Genomic DNA, 22,231 nt, shown 5'->3' on the forward strand with positions numbered 1-22,231 from the left:
GCAGTGAGCCGAGATCACGCCACTGCACTCCAGCCTGGGCAATAGAGCAAGACTCAATCTCAAAAAAAAAAAAAAAAAATAGAAAAAAAAAAAGAAGGAAGTATGGATGAACCTTGGAAGCATTATGCTAAGTGAAAGAAGCCAGTCACAAAAGACCATACATTACACGGTTCCATTTATATAAGATGTCCAGAATAGGCAAATCTATAGAGACACAAAGTACATTACTGGCTGCCTAAACCTGGGAGGAGAGGAGAATGGGGAGTGACTGCCAATGGGTACAGGTTTTCCTTTTGGAGTGATAAAAATGTGCATGGGTTTCATTGTGGGGTGATGAAAATGTTCCAAAATTAATTGTGGTGATGGTTGTATAACTCTATGAATACAATAATAGAATTGTAAACTCTATTACTTATTTATATATTTATTTGAGATGGAGTTTTTGCTCCGTTGCCCAAGCTGGAGTGCAGTGGCGCAATCTGGGCTCACTGCAACCTCCGCCTCCTGGGTTTAAGCAATTCTCCTGCCTCAGCCTCCCGAGTAGCTGGGATTACAGGTGCCTACCACCATGCCCAGCTAATTTTTTTATTTTTAGTAGAGACGAGGTTTCACCATGTTGGCCAGGCTGGTCTCAAACTCCTGACCTCAAGTGATCTGCCTGCCTTGACCTCCCAAAGTGCTGGGATTATAGGTGTGAGCCACTGTGCCCAGCCTGCAAACTTAAATACATAAATTTTATGTGAGTGATATCTCAGTAAAGCTATTTTTAAAAATAATTATCAAAGCCACGTTACATGGAGAGTAACTCTGGGGCTTCAATTCCTTATTCTTTTTTTTTTTTTCTTTTTCTTTTGAGACAGGGTCTCTCTGTGTCGCCCAGGCTGGAACGCGATGGTACCATCACGGCTCACTGCTGCCTTGACGTCCCAGGCCCAGGCAATCCTCCCACCTTGGCCTCCCGAGTAGCTGGGTCTATTGGTGCATACTACCATGCCCAGCTAATTTTTTGTAGAGATGGAGTCCCCCTATGTTGCCCAGGCTAGTCTTGATCTCCTGGTCTCAAGACATCCTCCTGACTTGGCCTCCCAGAGAGCTGGGATTACAGGTGTGAGTCACCTCGCCCAGCCATTTCTTTATTCTTTTACACATTAAAGCAGACCCATAAGAGACGATATTAGAATAACGTTGTCCCTCTTCCCCTCTGAGTGAATGGCCTTCTGTCTGGTATTGTTATTAGAATCCTCAAGGTTTTTTTTTTTTTTTTTTTCTTGAGATGGGTCTTGCTCTGTTGCCTGGGTTGGAGTGCAGTGACATGATCTTGGTTCACTGCAACCTCTGCCTCCTGGGTTCAAGTGATTCTCTTGCCTCAGCCTCCCCGGTAGCTGGGGCTACAGGCATGCACCACCACGTCCAGTTAATTTTTGTATTTTTTTAGTAGAGATGAGGGTTTAACCATGTTGGCCAGGCTGGTCTCAAACTCCTGACCTCAGGTTATCCACCCGCCTCAACCTCCCAAAGTGCTGGGATTACAGGCATGAGCCACCGTCCCTGGCCAGAATCCTCAAGTTTTATAAGGTGATGTCAACCTGATCTCTAGGTGAATAGTCTGTTAAGTCATACAGTGCCGTATGAGAGCACTGCTTGTCTCTTACGTGGCTGCATCTGCAGCACCTAGAATAGTGCTTAGCAGATAATAATAGGAAGTAATGTTTGTTGACTGAATGAATGTTAAATTGCTTTTTTTGTAGACTCAAAGATGTGCTGCGTAGATCCTCCCTCAAGGAAGGACTCGCTGCCCAGGTGTGGGGAGTGAGGCCACCAGATAGCTCCCAGCTGTCAGCTCTGTCATAGTCTGCCTCAGTTTGAGAGAGCCTGAGGTCATGCCTCCCCAGGGCAGCCTGGATCTAGTGACTAAGATAAGGCTAGAAACACCTGGCCATCACAGCCCATGGTGGGACGACTCTGATAGGCAGTACTTACTGCAGAGATCTCCACTGATTGGTCCAGTCTTCACAGGCCTGCATGGCAGCTCAGCTTCTCCCTCAGCCCAGTCCTGCCTCCTGTCTTACTTTTAGAAGTGTTGATCCCTAACAAATGTCTTCTATTCCAGCTCTGTCTCAGTGTCTGCTTCCAGAGAACCCATTCAGGAATGGCCCAAGAAAGCAGGTAATAAGATGGGTTTTGGGAGCTGGATGCCTCACTGCCTAGCTGGCAATGAGGACCTCATCCCTGGTGGGAAGTGGGGTACGGAGGGCTATTGGCACAAGGTGGCAGCATTAAAACTTTCACTGGCGGTAAATCCAGAAGGCATACCAGAGAGAGAGAATGCACTGGAGGGTGTGCGGTCCCAGGAGTCTGACCGGTGTGGAGGAACTGGTATCAATTAGGAGAGGGCTCCTGAATGGCACTTGCTTAACCTCCTACTTCTGTAGAAAGATGAAAAACAGCTGAGGGGACTAACAAGCAACTGAAAATCAGGTGTGAAAGTCAGAAGGTCTTGGCCCAGTGCGGCGGCTCACACCTGTAATCCCAGCACTTTGGGAGGCCGAGGTAGGCAGATCAATTGGGGTCAGGGGTTCAAGACCAGCCTAGGCAAAATGGTGAAATCCTGGCTCTACAAAAATTAGCTGGGTGTGTAGGCATGGTGATTCATGCCTGTAATCCCAGCTACTCGGGAGGCTGAGGCTTGAGAATTGCTTGAGCCCAAGAGGCGGAAGTTGTAATGAGCTGAGATCGAGCCATTGTTGCCTGGGCAACAGAGTTAGACTCTGGCTCAAATAATAATAATAATAATAATAATAATAATAATAATAATAATAATAATAACAATTAGCCAGGCATGGTGGCGGCACGTGCCTATGGTCCCAGCTACTTGGGAGCCTGAGGTGGGAGGATTGCTTGAGCCTGGGAGGTGGAGGTTGCAGTGAGCCGAGCTCATACCACTGCACTGCAGCCTGGGCATTAGAGCCAGATACTTTTTCAAAAAATAAAATAAAATAAAAAATTTAGAAAAATCTGGGACCCTAACCCATGGGATGGAAACAACTATGAGTGGAGACATCCGGGTGAAGGTTCCTGAAGATCCTGGTATCCCAGGCTACTCTGAATCTGCAGATGTGATCCACTCCTCCATATTGTGAGCTAGCACTGCCTCCCCACCAGCCCTTGCTCAAAGGCAATGCAGAAGCCTCACTCCAGCAAGACAATGAGTGCCCCTTCAGGACCACCTCCTTTTCGGGCTACACTAAACCTTTAAGTCTTGGAGTAAGCCAGCTGGGGAGGTGCTGGGCCTAATGACAGAGAAAAGGAGATTGTGTTTCAAACCAGCTGCAAGAATCAGCATTGCTAGCAGTCCCAGGGGAGTTTGGGTGGAATGATTCCGAGGATGCTTGATTGAGGAGCTGGAACAATTGGATAGGAGACCGGGCATGGTGGCCCACACCTTTAATCCCAGCACTTTGGGAGGCCAAGGCAGGAGGATGGCTTGAGCTCAGAAGTTCGAGACCAGCCTGAGCAATATAGCAAGACCTTGTCTCTATTTTTTTAATTATTTAAAATAATGTTTTATATATTTTTATATATATATATATATGATAGGAAAATTTATTGACTTTATTGAGCTCTACCGAGATACTGGATTTAGTGAGGATCTCAGGAGAGTGTATGAACTTGCCATAATGATGGCTTCTAGAAGCTGGAAAAAGCGTCCACAGTGAATGAAATTGCAGTACCAGAATTACTGTAGCAGGTGGTGAAGGAAATGATTAAAAAGTGCAGGGGGCTGGATGGAGTGGCTCAGGCCTGTAATCCCAGCACTTTGGGAGGCCAAGGCAGGTGGATCACGAGGTCAGGAGATCAAGACCAGCCTGGCTAACACGGTAAAACCCTGTCTCTACCACAAATACAAAAAATTAGCTGGGCATGGTGGCATGCACCTGTAGTCCCAGCTATTTGGGAGGCTGAGGCAGGAGAATCATTTGAACCCGGGAGGCGGAGGTTGCAGTGAGCCGAGATCGTGCCACTGCACTCCAGCCTGGGCAACAAAGCGAGACTCTGTCTCAAAAAAAAAAAAAAAAAAAGTGCAGGGAAGGGGACATGCTCAAATGATATGCTGGGTGCTACCAGAAGACCCATCAGATGTTTAGGTTCCATGGGAAGCCTGCAAGGATGCACCATTTACACCAAGACCATCAGGAATGCAGTGTTGAGAGGGACACCAGCAGCACTCAGAAGTTCAGTGGCAGCTTTCCTCTGTAGGCTGAGGCTCCCAGTAGGAGAGGCCTGTTGTTGATATCAGTGGAAATAAGAGGACTCTGAAACAATGGAGACCAGGTGGCTGCCCTGGTGACAAAAAGCCAGATTGTAGCAGACATTGTAAACACTGGCAAGGTCAGAATGGCAACCAAGGGAGCGTGACCTGCAGATGGCTAATAGAACCTGATGTCTGTGGGGGCAAAATGCATGCACAGCAGACAGGCTTGTATTGTAGAAGACATCAACGATGACTAGAAGGCCAAGGGTGGTTGCCCCATTAAAAAGTTACAATCTGGGCCGGGAACAGTGGCTCAAGCCTGTAACCCCAGCGTTTTGAGAGGCCGAGGTGGGAAGATCAGTTGAGGTCGGGAGTTCAAGACTAGCCTGCTCAACATGGCGCAACCCCCGTCTCTACTAAAAATGCAAAAATTAGCCGGGTGTGGTGGCTGGTGCCTGTAATCCCAGCTATTCAGGAGGCTGAGGCATGAGAATCACTTGAACCCAGGAGGCGGAGGTTGCAGTGAGCCGAGATTGCACCATTGCACTCCAGCCTGGGGGACAGAGTGAGACTCCCTCTCAAAAACAAAAACAAAAAAAAAGGAAAGAAAACAGTCTCCACCTCATACTGCCCAGTTAACAGATGCTCAGCCAAGAGGTTTTTTAAAATTTAGGACATATCAGTTTATCAATTCCTCTGGTATAGGTCATCTACCCTGGAGCACCCTGGACCCTGTGAGAGGTCACCTCAGTCCCTTCTCAGTGTGCTTTGGTTCCAGATAGGGACCCCAGAGATGCCCAGGCAGGCCCTGAATATGCCAGTCTGGAGCTCAGCAGACACCTGGGCTGAAATTCTAGGTTGGTGATCACAGCTGGTTGCTCAGGGTGTGTGGATGGGTAATACCCAGGGAGTGAGCTTAGACAGTGAGGAGGGGCCTTATGCCATGACAGACACACCTGAGGTAGAAGCCTGCTCAGCTGGGGCTGAGAGACTGACTCCTGGGAATCCGAGTGGGATGGCTTACTCAGGAAGAGCCAACAGCTTTGACCAAGGCCAGCATGGTCTGGTAATCCTGCACATAGACTCTGGGTTCCATCTCTACTATTATTACCATCTGGGTGACCGAAGACGTATTACTTGGTGTTTACAACTAATTGATCACAAGCAGTTACAGATTTCTTTGTTCCTTCACTCCCACTGTTTCACTTGAATGGCCTTAAAAAAACAAAACAAAACAAAACAAAGAAAACAACCTATTACTTAATGTTGTATGCCTTGGTTTATTCACCTACAAAATGGTGGATATCCACCTGTAAAACAGGTACTTCTATTGTTTGTAAAAATCAAATGAGGCAAAGCACTTAGAATCATACACTATACATTGTAAGAGCCAATGAGTGTCTGCTGTTGTTGCTACCACTAAGGTGAGGTACTTATAAGCAGAACCCAAGGTGACCTTACCTCCCTGTTCACCGGGCAGTCCTGGCTTAGGCCTATTGTTCCAGTGTAAATGTGGACAGTGGCCTCCTTTCACTTTCAAAAGTATCCTGGTTTGGATAATAAATTATATGGCCAACCTAACATGATCTAACTTAAAATTAAAATTCTATGACATAGGATGGGTGCAGTGGCTCATGTCTGTAATCCCAGCACTTTGAGAGGCCAAGGTAGGCAGATCGCTTGAAGTCAGGAGTTTGAGACCAGCCTGGCCAACATGGTGAAACCCCATCTCTACTAAAAATACAAAAATTAGCTGACTGTGGCTGCACTTGCCTGTAGTCTCCGCTACTCTGGAGGCTGAGGCAGGAGAGTTACTTGAACCTGGGAGGCAGAGGTTGCAGTGAGCTGAGATCGCGCCACTGCACTCCAGCATGGGTGGGAGAGTGAGAGAATCTGTCTCAAAAAAAAAAAAAAATTCTATGAGATAGAAATTGCTATCCCAATTTACAAATGAAGAATTATGGGCCGGGCGTGGTAGGTCACGCCTGTAATCCCAGCACTTTGGGAGGCCGAGGTGGGTGGATCACCTGAGGTCAGGAGTTCGAGACCAGCCTGGCCAACATGGGGAAACCCCATCTGTACTAAAAATATAAAAATTAAGGCTGGGTGCGGTGGCTCACGCCTGTAATCCCAGCACTTTGGGAGGCTGAGACAAGCAGATCACCTGAGGTCAGCAGTTCGAGACCAGCCTGGCCAATGTGACAAAACCCCGTCTCTACTAAGAATACAAAAAAATTAGCTGGACGTGGTGGTGCCTGCCTGTAGTCCCAGCTACTCAGGAGGCTAAGGCAGGAGAATCGCATGAACCCGGAAGGCAGAGGTTGCAGTGAGCCGAGATCGCGCCATTGCACTCCAGCCTGGGTGACGAGAGTGAAACTCCGTCTCAAAAAAAAAAAAAAAAAAGAACGATGAGGCCCAGGGAATGCCATATATGCTAGGCGGCCAGTCTGGGTTCTTAATGACATTTTTGCCCTTCACGTCTAAGGCCTCTCAATCCCTAACTGGAGAGCAACCCCAGGAAATTCACAGCATGTTTGTGGGGAGAGCCAGTTAGCTGAGGAAGGAGAACCCTTGAGCGGTGTGGGGAGAAGTGGCCACCCAGCCTTGGCCAGAAGAGCTGCAGCAGAACCCAGATGCTGGGCGGGCCGGTGCCGGACCTTGACGGTTGGCTCTGCCACGCCAATACACACAGGCACTCCCAGGCAGCCTCAAGGTCCCTCCTGATTCTGTCGCTACCCTGGCCAGCCTTCCTTTTCTTATTACTCATTCTATTCTACACATTTTTTAAAATGTTATCTTCACTTTGGACCTTCTTATTCTTTGGCCACACCTAGGGCATCTTATCTCTCTAAGAGCAAGGTCTCTGAGGCACTAAACGGCTGGCTTTAGGATTCTGGGAGTGAGAAAACTGTGGGTGAGGCCAGAATAACAAAGTTGGCATTTATTTGACATTTGCCAAACTCTTGCCATGAATTATCTGATTGCATTCTTCCACTTCCCTAATGGAATATGGACACCAAATGGAAACCTGAGGCTCAAGGGGTGTGCTAGGTCATCATCAAATGGTGCAGCCAGGATTTGGACCTGGACTTGTCTGAGGTACCTGGATTAACTGCTGGGCTACAGAGCAGTGTGGTGAGGGAGATACAGGAGGTGCCTGGCCAGGCGCAGTGGCTCATGCCTGTTATCCCAGCACTTTGGGGGGACCAAAGTAGGTGGATCACCTGAGGTCAGGAGTTCGAGACCAGCCTGGCCAACACGGTGAAACCCCGTCTCTACTAAAAATACAAAAATTATCTGGGCATGGTGGCAGGCGCCTGTAATCCCAGCTGCTACTCAGGAGGCTGAGACAGGAGAATCACTTGAACCCGAGAGGTGGGGGCTGCAGTGAGCCGAGCTCACACCACTGCACTCCAGCCTGGGCGACAGAGCGAGACTCTGTCTCAAAAAAAAAAAAAAAAAAAAAAGAGGGCCATAGATGTACTAAGGTTTCTCAGAAGTGATTAGAGAAGCTTCAGATGGGTTTTACGCAGTCATTCAACAAGCATTTATTGAGTACCTACTGTGTGCCAGGCAGTGAGGACACAAAGATGAAAGAGTCCCAGCCCTCAAAGAGCTCGCCGTCTGAGTGGACATGTCAAGTAAACAGGCTATTGCCGAGCAACGTAAGTGCGATATTAGAGGTGTGTACTCCGCATGGAGGTAGAGGGAGTGATTACCTCTGCTGTGTGTAAAACACATATTGATTGAGAGCTTTACCATGGGCCAGGTGCTGTGCTGAGCGTTGAACAAGACACAGGACGGAGTGGGGAATGCTTTGCAGCAGTGACAGCCTGCACAGTGGCATGGAGGCATGGGTCACTGTGGTTACCTGGGCAAAGGGGGCTAGGCCTCATGCTGGACACTGGGGTGCAAACAAGGGCACAGCATTGGAGAATGAGGCTGGGCCCCATCTTGGAAGGCTTTGGAGGCCTGAGGAAGGGGCTTGGGTGTTACCTATACATGGAGGCCTTCCCAGCCTTTTGGAGGATGAAGACTTTTTCAAAAACAGTTAAAAACTTCTGATGAGCCGGGCGCAGTGACTCACGCCTGTAATCCCAGCACTTGGGAGGCTGAGGCAGGCAGATCACAAGGTCAAGAGATCGAGATCATCCTGGCTAACACGGTGAAATCCTGTCTCTACTAAAAACAACAAAAAATTAGCCGGGTGTGGTGGTGGACGCCTGTAGTCCCAGCTACTCGGGAGGCTGAGGCAGGAGAATGATGTGAACCCAGGAGGTGGAGCTTGCAGCGAGCTGAGATTGCACCACTGCACTCCAGCCTGGGCGACAGAGTGAGACTCCATCTCAAAAAAAAAAACAAAAAAAAACAACTGATGAGCTTCCACATGCTTGGAATTTGGCTTTTAGTGTCTTTTTTTTTTTTTTTTTTTTTTTGAAACAGAGTCTTGCTGTGTTGCCCAGGCTGGAGTGCAGTACCACGATCTCGGCTCACTGCAAACTCCGCCTCCCGGGTTCATGCCATTCTCCTGCCTCAGCCTCCCAAGTAGGTGGGACTACAGGCGCCTGCCACCACACCTGGCTAATTTTTTGTATTTTTAGTAGAGACGAGGTTTCACCGTGTTAGCCAGGATGGTCTCGATCTCCTGACCTCGTGATCTGCCCACCTTGGCCTCCCAAAGTGCTGGGATTACAGGCGTGAGACACTGTGCCTGGTCTAGTGCTTTTTTTTTTTTTTTTTTTTTTTTGAGACAGGGTCTTTCTTAGTTGCTCAGGCTGGAGTGCAGTGGCACAATGACAGCTCACTGCAGCCTCAACCTCCTGGGCTCAAGCAATCCTCCTACCTCAGCCTCCCAAGTAGTTGGGACTACAGGCACACACCACCACACCCAGCTAATTTTTAATTATTTTTAGAGACAGGGTTTCACTATGTGTTGCCCAGGCTGGTCTCGAACCACTGTCTTTTTTTTTTTTTGAGACAGTCTTACTCTGTCACCCAGGCTAGAAGTACAGTGGCACAATCTTGGCTCACTGCAACCTCTGCCTCCTGGACTCAAGCGATCCTACCACCTCAGCCTTCTGAATAGCTGGGACTGCAGGCATGCGCTACTGCGACTGGCTAAGTGTTGTATTTTTAGCAGAGACAGGGTTTTGCCATGTTGTCCAGGCTGGTCTTGAACTCCTGGTCCCAAGTAATCTGCCTGCCTTGGCCTCCCAAATTGCTGGGACTACAGGCGTGAACTACCGCACCTGGCCGAACCAGTGTCTTTATATTGAGAAAATACATGCGTACTGAGGACTCTCTCAAATGGTCAGTTTCTCTCCTGCACTGCTAACAGCTCCTCCTGCAAGTCTGTCCCTTCTGTCTGTGGCTCCTCCCCACTCATTATAGCCAGAGGGTCTTTCAAACATGCAAATCTGGTGCTGTCCACCCCCTACTTAAAGCTCCACCACAGCTTCCCTTTGTCCACAGGGTCAAGTCCAAGCTCCCCTCTCTGCCCTGTGCTCTGGCCTTTGTTTACTGATAAACTGCTCTGCACAGGTGTTGACATGCTGTTGCTAATGTCACTTCTGTATGTGCTTTTTTTCCTTATTGGCACCCCCTGCTTCAAGGGGGAATGAAGTCAGGAAGTGAGGGGTCTGGCCAGCTTCTAAAGATGCCTTAGGAAGCCTTCCCATGGCTCAGACTTACACACATCTCTATAGCTAACAGAGGGAGGGCACCGGTGGGAGGCAGCAGGCACAAGTCCTTCAGGGCATGTCATGCTGTGCCCGTTGTCCTGCCCTGGCTCCTGCCCCTACCCCAGGGTGTAGGGAGGGCCCTGGCTGTCCCTTGTCTATGGGGCCTGGGCCAGTGCACCACCTGGTATGAAGTGAGGCCAGGTGGATGTCAGCCTGTGGCCTCCTGGACTTTGCTGGAGCTCTGCGTCCTGCCGGGATGGTGAGGAGGCAGAACCCTGAGGGCCTGATCTGTCCTGCAGAGTGACTCAGTCTCCCTCTCACACATCTGGCTTCAAAGTTCTGAAGGTGACTTGGTCCTGGGTGGCTGAGGAGTGATTTCTTAGGTCAGAGTAGACCAAGGCACATAGGAGGGCCTACTTCTCTCCGGTAAACTTCTCTTCTGGCACTAAAGGGTGCTGCGGACTGGGATATTCTCAGAGGAGGCCTGACATCCGGGTCATGTTCTGGGGTCCCAGGGGTCCCATTTAAGGCTTTAACCTGTGGCTCAGGTGATAAGAGGAGACTCAGGACCAGTCCCTTAACAGGTTGGTGGAACTGTGAGTAGAAATTTTTTTTTGCTCCGCCCCTACCCAAAGTGGCTTCATTGAGATTCAGCCTATCTCCCACCCTTCCTGTGCTGTGATGAGGGACTCTGGGGACTGGGAGTGAATAGGCCCTGCTGAGTGCAGGGAAGACACACTCTGGCCTTCCTCACGCCAGGCTGGAGACCTGGCACTGGGCTCTGCTCCTAGCAGCCTGGAAAGCTGTTATTCTAGAACCTGATAACTGCTTGGGCTGGGCTGAAGATAAGAGGCAGCTGTTTGAAGTCCAGAGAGATAACAGCTTCAGAGAAATTTGATAAGAGGAGTGAGATGCACTGGGTTAAGCTCACCAGTCTCGCCTGTTTGCCTTTTGCCAGTTTATAATCATAACCAGCACTGTACTCTCAAGTCAGACTTCCCAGCACCGCGAGGAACCTCAGTGTCACTGTCTCTTAATGGTAGTCTGTGCATCTCTCCTGAGGTCCGCGCCTGGGCCTGCAGGCCTCTGTGCTTGTTCTATGAAATGACCCTCAGCCCCCAGCCCTGCCTTTCCAACCTCATTTCTTTCCTGCCCATTGGTTCTTTTTCTCAAATGTATTCACTCCTGCATCCATTCATTTAACAAATATTTTATGAGTGCCCACTTTGTGCCAGGCACCATTCTGGGCACCGGAGATGCACCGAGGATGCCACCAGGCATGGTCTCTACTCTCACTGGGCTGTGTTCTGGGTAGCCGGAGACAAAAGATAAATCAATAATTGTAGTGGGTGCTGAGTGCAATGGAGGAAAGTCTAAGAGGGCTGTGGTGGGGAGGGACTATGGGGACAGCACAGGGTGGCTTTAGAGTGGTCAGGATGACCTTCCTACAAATACCCTGGGGGATAAGAATGAGCCATGCCAAAACCTTCCTGGAGAGGAGAGAGCCAGCGCAAAGGTCCTGGGGCAGGAGTGAGCATGATCTGGGGGTTAAATAGAAGCTGGAGAGAAGAGGATGGTGGGCAGAGGCCTGATGAGGACAGTCAGACAGGCCTAGATAAGAAGTCTGGAGATGATGATATGCAGAAAACCAACCCACAGGAAGGTGAGTCAGAAGGAATCTGGTCTATGTTTTGAAAAATTTACTTTGGGCTGGGCGCGGTGGCTCACGCATGTAATCCCAGCACTCTGGGAGGCTGAGGCGGATGGGTCACAAGGTCAGGAGATCAAGACCATCCTGGCCAACATGGTGAAACCTCGTCTCTACTAAAAATACAGAAATTAGCCGGGCATGGTGGTGTGTACTTGTAATCCCAGCTACTTGGGAGACTGGGCAGGAGAATCGCTTGAACCCAGGAGGAGGAGGTTGCAGTGAGCCGAGACTGTGCCGCTGCACCCTAGCCTAGCGACAGAGCAGGACTCCATCTCAAAAAAAAAAAAAGAAAGAAAGAAGAAGAAAAACTCACTTTGGCTGCCATGTGGTAGCCAGGGCAGAGAGACAGGCATGGTGAGCAGGAGGGTCAGCATGGGAGGATGGATGCTGGCTCTGGTACTGACTCTCTGTTAGACCTTGGGCCAGACACTTAGCCTCTGTGCTTCTGTTTTCATAGCTATAAAACAGGGTTTCTCTTCACCTGTCTTCTGGTGCTGCCCTGGGTGCTGCCCCAGGTGAAGAATGCTGTGGTGAAGGAGACAGACCCTGCCCTTATGGGACTTCCACTCAAATGGAGGAGTCAGACCTCAAACCAGAGAATCCACAGGGAATGCCAAGTGCTATGTGAGAAATTAAAATAGGATGATTGCTAGAGGGTGACAGGGTGTGATTAGAGAAGCCCACTCCAAGGAAGTGACATTTAGCCTGAGACCCGAATGATGCTGGAAGGGCCCTTGAGGAAAGGAGCTGGAGGGATGGCCTGCTTTACTGGTCTGGAAAGGTCAGACAGGCTGTGGCCTGTGGGAAGTGCTCTGCAAATGTTTGGAGTTTTTTTGTTTTTGTTTTTTTGAGACAGAATTTCAATCTTGTTGCCCAGGCTGGAGTGCAGTGGCACGATCTCGGCCCTCCACCTCCTGGGTTCAAGCGATTCTCCTGCCTCAGCCTCCTGAGTAGCTGGGATTACAGGCACCCGCCACTACACCTGGCTAAGTTTTTGTATTTTTAGTACACATGGGGTTTCACCATGTTGGCCTGGCTGGTCTCGAACTCCAGACCTCAGGTGATCCATCTGCCTCGGCCTCCCAAAGTGCTGGGATTACAGGTGTGAGCCACCGCGCCCGGCCTGCTGCTGTTTATTTGAAGGGCCCCCATGCCCTGACCTGAAGCTGCCCACATCTGGACCTGCCTCATTCAGGGAATTCTGAAGTCTTCTGGATAGATCCTTAGCAAAGTCCTTCCATCGCCCCTCCCCCAACGCCCTGCCCCACCCTGCCAGTCACATACAGGCTTGTTCTGAAGCCTGTGAGGAAACTGTCCCTCTCAGCCCCACCTCCATGCCCAACCAGGCCGCCCCAGCACAGCCTGCCTGACTCCTGGAAACAGATGGAATCTTAGATCCAGTTTAATCCTTCCCATTTTCCATATGGGGAAACTAGGGCCATGTGTTTTATCTAATATTCCTTTTCATATAGTCTTTTTTTTTTTTTTTTTTTTGAGATAAGACTCCTGCTCTGTCACCCAGGCTGGAGTACAGTGGTGCGATCTCGGCTCACTGCAACCTCTGCCTTTCCAATTCAAGTGATTCTCCTGCCTCAGCCTCCCGAGTAGCTGGGATTACAGATGTGCACCACCACACCTGGCTAATTTTTGTATTTTTAGTAAAGATGACGTTTCACCATATTGGCCAGACTGGTCTCAAACTTCTGGCCGTATATGATCTGCCTGCTTTGGTCACCCAAAATGTTGGTTTTTGGGGTTTTTTTTGTTTTTTTTTTTTGAGATGGAGTCTCGCTCTGTCCCCCAGGCTGGAGTGCAGTGGCGCGATCTCAGCTCACTGCAAGCTCTGCCTCCCGGGTTCACACCATTCTCCCTGCCTCGGCCTCCCAAGTAGCTGGGACTACAAGCGCCCACCACCATGCCCGGCTAATTTTTTTTTGTATTTTTAGTAGAGGCAGGGTTTCACCATGTTAGCCAGGATGGTCTCGATCTCCTGACCTTGTGATCCACCCGTCTCAGTCTCCCAAAGTGCTGGGATTAGAGGCGTGAGCCACCGCGCCCAGCCAAAATGTTGGGATTATAGGCATAAACCACCATGCCTGGCCCCCTTTTCCTATATTCTTTCTTTCTTTTTTTTTGTTTGAGACAGAGTCCTGCTCTGTCACCCAGGCTGGAGTGCAGTGGCGCGATCTCAGCTCACTGCAACCTCCGCCTCCCAGGTTTAAGCAATTCTCTGCCTCAGCCTCCCGAGTAGCTGGGATTACAGGTGCATTCCACCATGCCTGGCTAATTTTTTGTATTTTTTTTTTTTTGAGACGGAGTCTCGCTCTGTCACCCAGGCTGGAGTGCAGTGGCACGATCTCGGCTCACTGCAAGCTCTGCCTCCCGGGTTCACGCCATTCTCCTGCCTCAGCTTCCCAAATAGCTGGGACTACTGGCACCCGCCACCATGCCCAGCTAATTTTTTTTTGTATTTTCAGTAGAGACGGGGTTTCACAGTGTTAGCCAGGATGGTCTCGATCTCCTGACCTCGTGATCCACTCACCTCAGCCTCCCAAAGTGCTGGGATTACAGGTGTGAGCCACCGCGCCCGGCCATTTTTTGTATTTTTAGTAGAGACAGGGTTTCACCATCTTGGTCAGGCTGGTCTTGAACTCCTGACCTCGTGATCCACCCACCTCGGCCTCCCAAAGTGCTGGGATTACAGGCATGAGCCACCACACCCGGCCTCCTATATTCTTTCAACAATAGTCATTGAAATATTTATTGAATTCCTACTGTGTGCTGTTTTAGGCACTGAGGATACAGCAGAGAACAAAACACAAAAATCTTGTCCTCCCAGCCTGGGAAACATGGTAAAGTCTTGTCTCTACAAAAAATACAAAAGTTAGCTAGGCGTGGTGGTGCCTGCCTGCAGTCCCAGCTACTCAGGAGGCTGAGGCAGGGGGATAACTTGAGCCTGGGAGGTTGAGGCTGCAATGAGCAAAGACCGTGTCACTGCACTCCAGCCTGGGTGACAGAGTGAAAACCTGTCTCCAAAAAAAAAAAAAAAAATTCTGTCCTCATGAGGCTAATATTCTACTTGGAGCAACTGACAATCAAAATACAATTAACAACAATTATTGTGGTTATTGTTACGGGCGTGGTGGCTCACACCTGTAATCCTAGCACTTTGGGAGGTGGAGGTAGGTAGATACCTTGAGCCCAGAAGTTTGAGAACAGCCTGGGCAACATAGGGAGACCCTGTCTCTACTTAAAAAAAAAAAAAAAAGTCCGGGCACAGTGTCTCATGCCTGTAATCCCAGCACTTTGGGAGGCCGAGGTGGGTGGATCACGAGGTCAAAGACCGAGACCATCCTGGCCAACATGGTGAAACCCTGTCTCTACTAAAAATACAAAAATTACCTGGGCATGGTGGCGCACACCTGTAGTCCCACCTACTCGGGAGGCTGAGGCAGGAGAATCACTTTAACCCGGGAGGCGGAGTTTGCAGTGAGCCGAGATCACGCCACTGTACTCCAGCCTGGCAACGAAGCGACACTCCATCTCAAAAAAAAAAACCTGAAAAAAAATACAGTTAACAATAATGAAACACACAATTATGTCAGGTGCTGATATGTTCCCTGAAGAAAAACAAAGCAGAAGAAAGAAAAGGATGGAGATGAAACGGGTGAGGGTAGGCTTCGATGTGTTCTCCTCTCAGATGTTTTGGTTAAGAGAAGGTTTCAGTGCTGGCCTGAGGATAGAGCTGTGGAACCACCTCAGAGAAGAGACTTCCAGGCAGGGCTCAGAACACAATTCCCCAAAGTAAGGCATGCTGAGTATTTTGAACTAAAGGAGATGGGAAGGCCTCGGAAGCAGAGTCTCTCTGACCTCCTGCCCTGCTGCTCACCTTTCTCTTTCAAGGCAAGTCACAGAAACCAGAATTCCTCTTCCCCAAGGCCATAGAAACTAGAATCCCTCTCCCAGAAAGCAAAACCTAGAGAGGTCATTTTCCCTCTCTCCCTTCTCCCTTAAAGACCCTCATCCCAGAGGGGTCCTTCCTCATGCCTAGGAAGAAGAAATGCTACACAGGCTGGGCACAGTGGCTCACGCCTGTAATCCCAGCACTTTGGGAGGCCAAGGCGGGCAGATCACTTGAGGTCAGGAGTTTGAGACCAGCCTGGCCAACATGGTGAAACCCTGTCTCTACCAAAAATACAAAAATTAGCCGGGTGTGGTACCATGCACCTGTAATCCCAGCTACTCAGGAGGCTGAGGTGGGAGAATTGCTTGAACCTGGGAGGTGGAGGTTGCAGTGAGCCAAGATCATTCCACTGCCCTCCAGCCTGGGCAATAGAGTGAGACTTCATATCAAAAAAGAAAAAGAAAGAAAGGTTACACAGAGAAGCCAAGGAGAATCAAGCAGACAGGCCTTGCTGTTTCCTCTCTCAGTCACTGAGCATTAGATCATACCCCTTCATCCAATCACATTTCTACACAGCTACCATTCCTCATCAACCTTTAAGCATAAACTCAGACAGTTTTCCCCAGGTCTTTGGGTCTTCATTTCTGAAGGCTGTCTCAAAATTTTTTAAAAATTTTATTGAAATGAGGTCTCCCTATGTTGCCCAGGCTGGTTGTGAACACATAAAACTTTGATCAAATAGTCCAGGCCCAGTGGGTCACACTTGTAATTCTAGCACTTTGGGAGACTGAGTGGGAGGATTGCTTGAACCAGCCTGGGCAACATTGTGAGACACAGTCTCTATGAAAATTAAATTTAAAAAATTAGCCAGGCATGGTGGTGTGCACCTCTAGTCCCAGCTACTCGGGAGGCTGAGGTAGGATGATCACCTGAGCCCAGGAGGTCAAGGCTTCAGTGAGCTGAGATCCCACCATGCACTCTAGCTTGGGCTACAGAGTGAGGAAAAACAAACACAAACAAACAAAACCCAACTTTGATTAAATAAATCTGTTACGTTTTCTCTTGTTAACCTCCTGGTGGGTGAGAAAAGTGATCACACTTTTCTGCCTTTATAAAGGCCAGCAGCTGGAATGTGCGGCTCCTGTGAGGAAAGCCAAGGGGGCCTGTGCAGATGGAACAGAGCCAAGGGTGCGGGGGTGGAGATGAAGTCTAGGGCAGGGGCAGATAGCACCGGGCTTTTGTAGGACTTTGGCTTTTACAGGTAAGATGCAGAGCCATGGAGGGTTTGAACTCTCTGGCTGCTGTCGGGGGGCCTTGTGTCCTGTCTCTTGAACAGAACACTAATTTCCTGGGGGCAGGACGCACACCAAAGCCCAGTCAGGGGCTCTGTTCTGGTCAGCGGGCCAGCCTTGACCCCACAGTCCCACAGCCAGCCAGACCTGAAGGTGGGACAGAGGTCCCTGGACTGCCTTTTTGGGAGGACTAGTTTTCTTTCTTTTTTTTTTTTTTTTTTGAGATGGAGGCTTGCTCTGTTCCCCAGGCTGCAGTGCAGTGGTGTGATCTCGGCTCACTGCAACCTCTACCTCCCAGGTTCAAGCAATTCTCGTGCCTCAGCCTCCTGAGTAGCTGAGATTACAGGCGCATGCCACCATGCCCCGCTAATTTTTGTATTTTTAGTAGAGACGGGGTTTCGCCATGTTGGCCAGGCTGGTCTTGAACTGCTGACCTCAGGTGATCTGCCCACCTCAGCCTCCTGAAGTGCTGGGATTACGGGAGTGAGCCACCGCCCGGCCTGGGAAGACTAGTTTTCATGTGTATTTGTAGTAGGCCTGCTTTTGATGCTATCTCAGTGCATTGCATTGAACTCTGCATTTATTCATATCCCGGGCTATCAGCTTTTTTGTTTGTTTGTGTGTTTGTTTGTTTGTTTGTTTGTTTGTGACAAAATCTTGCTCTGTTGCCCAGGCTGGAGTGCAGTGACGTGATCTCGGTTCACTGCAACCTCTGCCTCCTGGGTTCAAGTGATTCTGCTGCCTCAGCCTGCTGAGCAGCTGGGATTACAGGCGCATGCCACCATGCCTGGCTAATTTTTGTATTTTTAGTAGAGACAGGGTTTCACCATGTTGGCCAGGCTGGTCTCAAACTCCTGACTCAAGTGATCCACCCATCTAGGCCTCCCAAAGTGCTGGGATTACAGGAGTAAGCCACTGTGCCTGGTCAGCCACCTTCAGCCATCACTGGCTTGTCAGTTCTTACGTATTCCACTTCCGCTTGATTGTAAGCTTCCTCCGGGGAAGGACGGGGTCTCCCAGACATTTGAATTAACGGTGATCTTTGCAAAAAGCCAGGAACCCCTGTGGGTGATTGCTGGCAGGGAGACAAGCTACACAGGAAAGAGCAGGGATCTGTCTGTGGCCTGGGGGTTAGGAGACCTAACAAAAGTTTTCTCACTCGGAGGCTCGGTCTCCCCATCTGTAAAAGGATATGGACTGGACTACATGGATTTTTTTTTTTTTTTTTTTTTTTTGAGAAGGAGTTTCGCTCGTGTCGCCCAGGCTGGAGTGTAATGGCACGATCTTGGCTCACTGCAACCTCCGTCTCTCAGGTTCAAGCAATTCTCCTGCTTCAATCTCCCCAGTAGCTGGGATTACAGGCATGCGCCACCATGCTGGGTGAATTTTTGTATTTTTAGTAGAGACGGGTTTTCACCATGTTGGCCAGGCTGGTCTCGAACTCCTGACCTTAGGCGATCCACCCGCCTCAGCCTCCCAAAGTGCTGGAATTACAGGCATGAGCCACCGCACCTGGCCGATTCTTTTTTTTTTTTTTTTTTTTTTTTTTTTGAGACGAAGTCTCCCTCTTGTCCCCCAGGCTGGAGTGCAGTGGCAGGATCTCAGCTCACTGCAACCTCCGCCTCCCGGGTTCAAGTGATTCTCCTGCCTCAGCCTCCTGAGTAGCTGGGATTACAGGCGCCTGCTACCACGCCTGGCTAATTTTTGTATTTTTAGTAGAGACAAGGGTTTCACCATGTTGGCCAGGCTGGTCTCGAACTCTGGCCTCAGGTGATCCGCCTGCCTTGGCCTCCCAGAATGCTGGGATTACAGGTGTGAGCCACCACACCTGGCCAAGGCCGATTCTTAAATTATGTTTGAAATACTAACAGAATCAGGCCAGGTGTGGTGGCTCACGCTTGTAATCCTAGCACTTTGGGAGGCCAAGGCCGGTGGATCATGAGGTCAGGAATTCGAGGCCAGCGTGGCCAAGATGGTGAAACCCCGTCTCTACTAAAAATACAAAAATTAGCTGGGCGTGGTGGCGCATGCCTGTAGTCCCAGCTACTTGGGAGGCTGAGGCAGGAGAATCACTTGAACCGGAGAGGCGGAGGTTGTGGTGAGCCAAGATCGTGCCATTGCACTCCAGCCTGGGCGACAGGAGCGAAACCCCGTCTAAAAAAAAAAAAAAAAAAAAAGAAATACCAACATAATCTATAGATACCTCCAGAATAATGAGTTGGTGCACAAAACTTTGCGTGTGACTGAGAGGAACAGGTTCACAAGCCCCTAAATTTGTCCCTAAGAGCTTGTCCAGTTCTAATAATGTGATTTTTGTGCACCGATTGTAGCACTAGCCCAGAAAGGCTCCAACCTTGGAGGACAGACTTGGTTTTAATCTCCAGGTGAGTGATTTAGGACTTGTTTTTGTTGCGTTCTGGAAAAGGTGTGTGGATATGTTTTTGGAGGCAAAGGAGGAGTTTGTGGTCTGGAGCCTGCATGTTTTCAGCCTCCAGGCCTGGTTACGTTGGCTTGATGGAGAAGGGAAGGCCCACGTGGGAGTGGAGCCAGCCAGTCTTTCCTGTGTGGGCGATGCAGGGGACGGTGGGGAGGGCCACAAGGTGGAGGAGGAGGAGGAATCGCGAGGTGGGAAGGGGCTGGGTGGTGACAGGCAGAGGGCTAGAGAGCTGTGGGCAGAACAGGGACCCCGTCCCATGTGTCTCTGGGCAGAGATTCACTCCACGCCAAAGCAAATAGGGAGAAGAGGCCCCTGTGAGTCTGAAGGGTGGTTCCCCCCTTGACTGAAGATCCCGGAGATGGGGGGTGGCCCTGGGCCAAATCAGGCACCTCCCTTTCTCACCAGGTAGTGCCTCCCTGCACGTTCACACCCAATGCTGTGTTGTCAGGGGCTGTAACCTGAGCCCTGGGTGCCAGGAGGGGGAGACCCACCCGGTCCTCCTCCTGTCCCCCCCAGCTCCCTTCCCTCTCCAAGGGCTCACACAGGCCCAGCCCATGGAAGAAATGGTGTTCTCAGTGGGTTTGGAACAGGTAAAGATTAGGAGCAGATGACAGGTTGTCAGTGGCTTCGAGGGCAACTACATAATCCCCAGCACCCAAGCTGCAGTGCACTTTGATCCAGCCTCTGAAGGCTTGATTATGAGACACAGCCCATGTTTCCATAAAGGGGAGAACAATTGTTTCCAGCACAGACAAAGGACTCTTTGTATAGCCCTGGGACCCGAGCCCCAGGAGGCACTCGGGGAGAGGAAGGACAGCCCCACCCCGGGTAGGGAAGGGGGTAGGGGCAGGGCAGTGCTGGGTGAGGCAGCTGCCTGGCTCCCATTGAGCTTGCCCATGATGGGCAAAGGGCATTAATGATGTCCCGCTGCTGGCACAGGGGCCTCAGACAGGGGTGAAAGGGGGCTTTTTTCTGAATTGCTCCAGCCTCATGCTCAAAATGCATGCAGTTTTATCTTTGTCGAGGCCGATGTTGGGGTATCTAGTGCCCCCCTACATTTGGGGAAGGGCTGGCTCCTCATTGGCAGGTTTCCACATCTATCAAACAGGCAGCAGGGTAGGGAGCAGGATTTGCTGTGCAGAGTGGGAGTTAGAACTTAGAGAGCATTTGGAAGTAGGCATGAAGAAGGGGCACGTTGGGATGGGGACGAGGTAGTGAGTCTGGATGCAGCAGTGTGTGTCCCTTGTGGAGCTGCCTCCTCCTCCTCCCCCCAGCCCTCACAGTTTCCCTGGGGCCTGAACATAGGATGACCTCAGAGTTTGCAAAACAAATCCGACTGTTGGAGAGCGTGAGGACTTTGCTTTGCTCCCCTTTCCTGCTTGGGAGAGAAGTCTGGATTGGTGAGGGCTTCTGCCCCCCTCATCCATTTGTTAGTTAAATCCAGCCCCTTCCCTGCCTCCCATTCCTTCTGTCCACATGTCAGGAGGCGTGGGCTGGGCCCTAGGCTGGCCTCCCAGTCAGAGGCAGCCATAGTGCAGGGAGTTGGCTTGACCCTGAGAAATTCCAGAAACACATCTGTTTAGGAGGATGAAGGCCAGGTTTGGGATCTTATTGGGGCTGCACCTGTGGAGACCAGAATGGCTCATTTTAGGGGGAAGGTAAGTAGAAAGTGTTAAATGCCAGCTCCTCAAAATCACTAGTACAATCTACTGATATCACAAAGCACAGTTTATTGCTCACCTTGGTGAGGGAGACAGAGATTTGGCAGTCTCTCCAAGTGGGGAAGGTAAGGTTGTTGGAAGTTTGGTTTAAGATGGATCTTGCAGTGCAGGGGCTTTGATTAGGACTGGGTAAGGATCGCCATTTCACAGTCAAGAATTGGTACAAACATCAAGGCCAGGATTTTTGAGACAAGGGATTCAAACAATGTTAGGAAGCAAGCTCAAAGTAGATGCTTCCATTGAAGATTTGATGGTTTTGTGGGAAGTTCCCCTAGTGAACAATCAGGTCTTTTACCTGGGCGGAGTCTATTGGAATAATAAAGTTATGCTAATGAAGACCATGGACTAGCAAAGTCACGTTAATGTAACCATCAGTTGTGTCTGTAGTAGGTAGTTTCCATTTTAGGTGTAAGTTTAGAGGGTGTGAGGGTAAAAGCTCTTTAGGGGCTGGTCTGGAGTTTGGGGTGGGGAATGGCAGGAGGGTCTATGGTCCTGAACAGCAATGACCAGACTGCAGGGCAGAGGCAGAGACACGTTAGACTGGAGAACTGGAGGGAGAGGAACTCCAGCTGACCCCAGGAGAGGTCAAGACTCAAGCATGTGAGCTGGAAACCAGGCCTGCAGGTGCCAAACCGGTCCCTGCCCGTGAAGACAGGCTGTATTGACTTTGGCAGCCCCACCCTAGCCTCCTCCCACCCCAGAAGGGCTTGAAACTGACACTGGGCCATGAAGGGGGCTGGAGATGTTCCCAACCCAGTCCTGCTCAGGCCGGCCATGGCTGGCTGCTACCCTGGCAGAGGGAGCCAGAGGGTGTGTATGGGGGAGGGAGGGAGGGATGTTCCCCTGGGAGGCAACTGGTGGAGTCCAGGGCTGGGGGCCATCAGGAATATATGAGTGGCCTCTTGATCTCAGACTGAGGACCCAGACAGACTAGGCAGTAGGTGAGAACAGATGAGTTTGGGGGACATCAGCTGTTCTCTTTATGGTGTAACTATGATTTCTTTTTTTTTTTCTTTTTTTGTGAGACAGAGCCTTGTACTGTTACCCAGGCTGGAGTGCAGTGGTGTGATCTCAGCTCACTGCAACCTCCGCCTCCTAGGTTCAAGCGATTCTCCTGCCTCAGCCTCCCGAGTAGTTGGGACCACAAGCACACGTCACCATGCCCAGCGAATTTTTGTATTTTTTAGTAGAGACGGGGTTTCACCATATTGGCCAGGCTGGTCCCTATGATTT

General features: G+C 50.1%; 9 annotated features.

The window, feature by feature from the left end:
- Positions 4,110-4,859: an enhancer, noted in NCBI's record as "H3K27ac-H3K4me1 hESC enhancer chr1:202038709-202039458 (GRCh37/hg19 assembly coordinates)". NCBI's record gives its function as "activates a minimal SCP1, AML or CMV promoter by ChIP-STARR-seq in primed H9 embryonic stem cells {active_cell/tissue: H9 hESC(primed)}" and the evidence as "EXISTENCE:reporter gene assay evidence [ECO:0000049][PMID:30033119]".
- Positions 6,646-7,145: an enhancer, noted in NCBI's record as "H3K4me1 hESC enhancer chr1:202041245-202041744 (GRCh37/hg19 assembly coordinates)". NCBI's record gives its function as "activates a minimal SCP1, AML or CMV promoter by ChIP-STARR-seq in primed H9 embryonic stem cells {active_cell/tissue: H9 hESC(primed)}" and the evidence as "EXISTENCE:reporter gene assay evidence [ECO:0000049][PMID:30033119]".
- Positions 9,793-10,640: an enhancer, noted in NCBI's record as "H3K4me1 hESC enhancer chr1:202044392-202045239 (GRCh37/hg19 assembly coordinates)". NCBI's record gives its function as "activates a minimal SCP1, AML or CMV promoter by ChIP-STARR-seq in primed H9 embryonic stem cells {active_cell/tissue: H9 hESC(primed)}" and the evidence as "EXISTENCE:reporter gene assay evidence [ECO:0000049][PMID:30033119]".
- Positions 9,793-10,951: a biological region, named in NCBI's record as "CRISPRi-validated cis-regulatory element chr1.10696". NCBI's record gives its function as "regulatory_interactions: ELF3".
- Positions 10,512-10,951: a transcriptional cis regulatory region, noted in NCBI's record as "candidate enhancer chr1.10696 targeted for multiplex CRISPR interference". NCBI's record gives its function as "positively regulates ELF3 gene expression in K562 cells {active_cell/tissue: K562}" and the evidence as "EXISTENCE:mutant phenotype evidence [ECO:0000015][PMID:30612741]".
- Positions 19,190-19,949: an enhancer, noted in NCBI's record as "H3K4me1 hESC enhancer chr1:202053789-202054548 (GRCh37/hg19 assembly coordinates)". NCBI's record gives its function as "activates a minimal SCP1, AML or CMV promoter by ChIP-STARR-seq in naive H9 embryonic stem cells {active_cell/tissue: H9 hESC(naive)}" and the evidence as "EXISTENCE:reporter gene assay evidence [ECO:0000049][PMID:30033119]".
- Positions 19,950-20,709: an enhancer, noted in NCBI's record as "H3K27ac-H3K4me1 hESC enhancer chr1:202054549-202055308 (GRCh37/hg19 assembly coordinates)". NCBI's record gives its function as "activates a minimal SCP1, AML or CMV promoter by ChIP-STARR-seq in naive H9 embryonic stem cells {active_cell/tissue: H9 hESC(naive)}" and the evidence as "EXISTENCE:reporter gene assay evidence [ECO:0000049][PMID:30033119]".
- Positions 21,591-21,735: an enhancer, noted in NCBI's record as "145 bp enhancer 200 fragment used in the MPRA reporter construct; PK_construct_859". NCBI's record gives its function as "activates an SV40 promoter by MPRA in K562 cells {active_cell/tissue: K562}" and the evidence as "EXISTENCE:reporter gene assay evidence [ECO:0000049][PMID:23512712]".
- Positions 21,658-21,669: a transcriptional cis regulatory region, noted in NCBI's record as "FOXA motif; enhancer activity is reduced when this motif is scrambled". NCBI's record gives its function as "necessary for full MPRA enhancer 200 activity {active_cell/tissue: K562}" and the evidence as "EXISTENCE:site-directed mutagenesis evidence [ECO:0005528][PMID:23512712]".

The sequence above is a fragment of the Homo sapiens genome, chromosome 1 (genome assembly GCF_000001405.40).
Source record: "Homo sapiens chromosome 1, GRCh38.p14 Primary Assembly".
Classification (NCBI taxonomy): domain Eukaryota; kingdom Metazoa; phylum Chordata; class Mammalia; order Primates; family Hominidae; genus Homo; species Homo sapiens.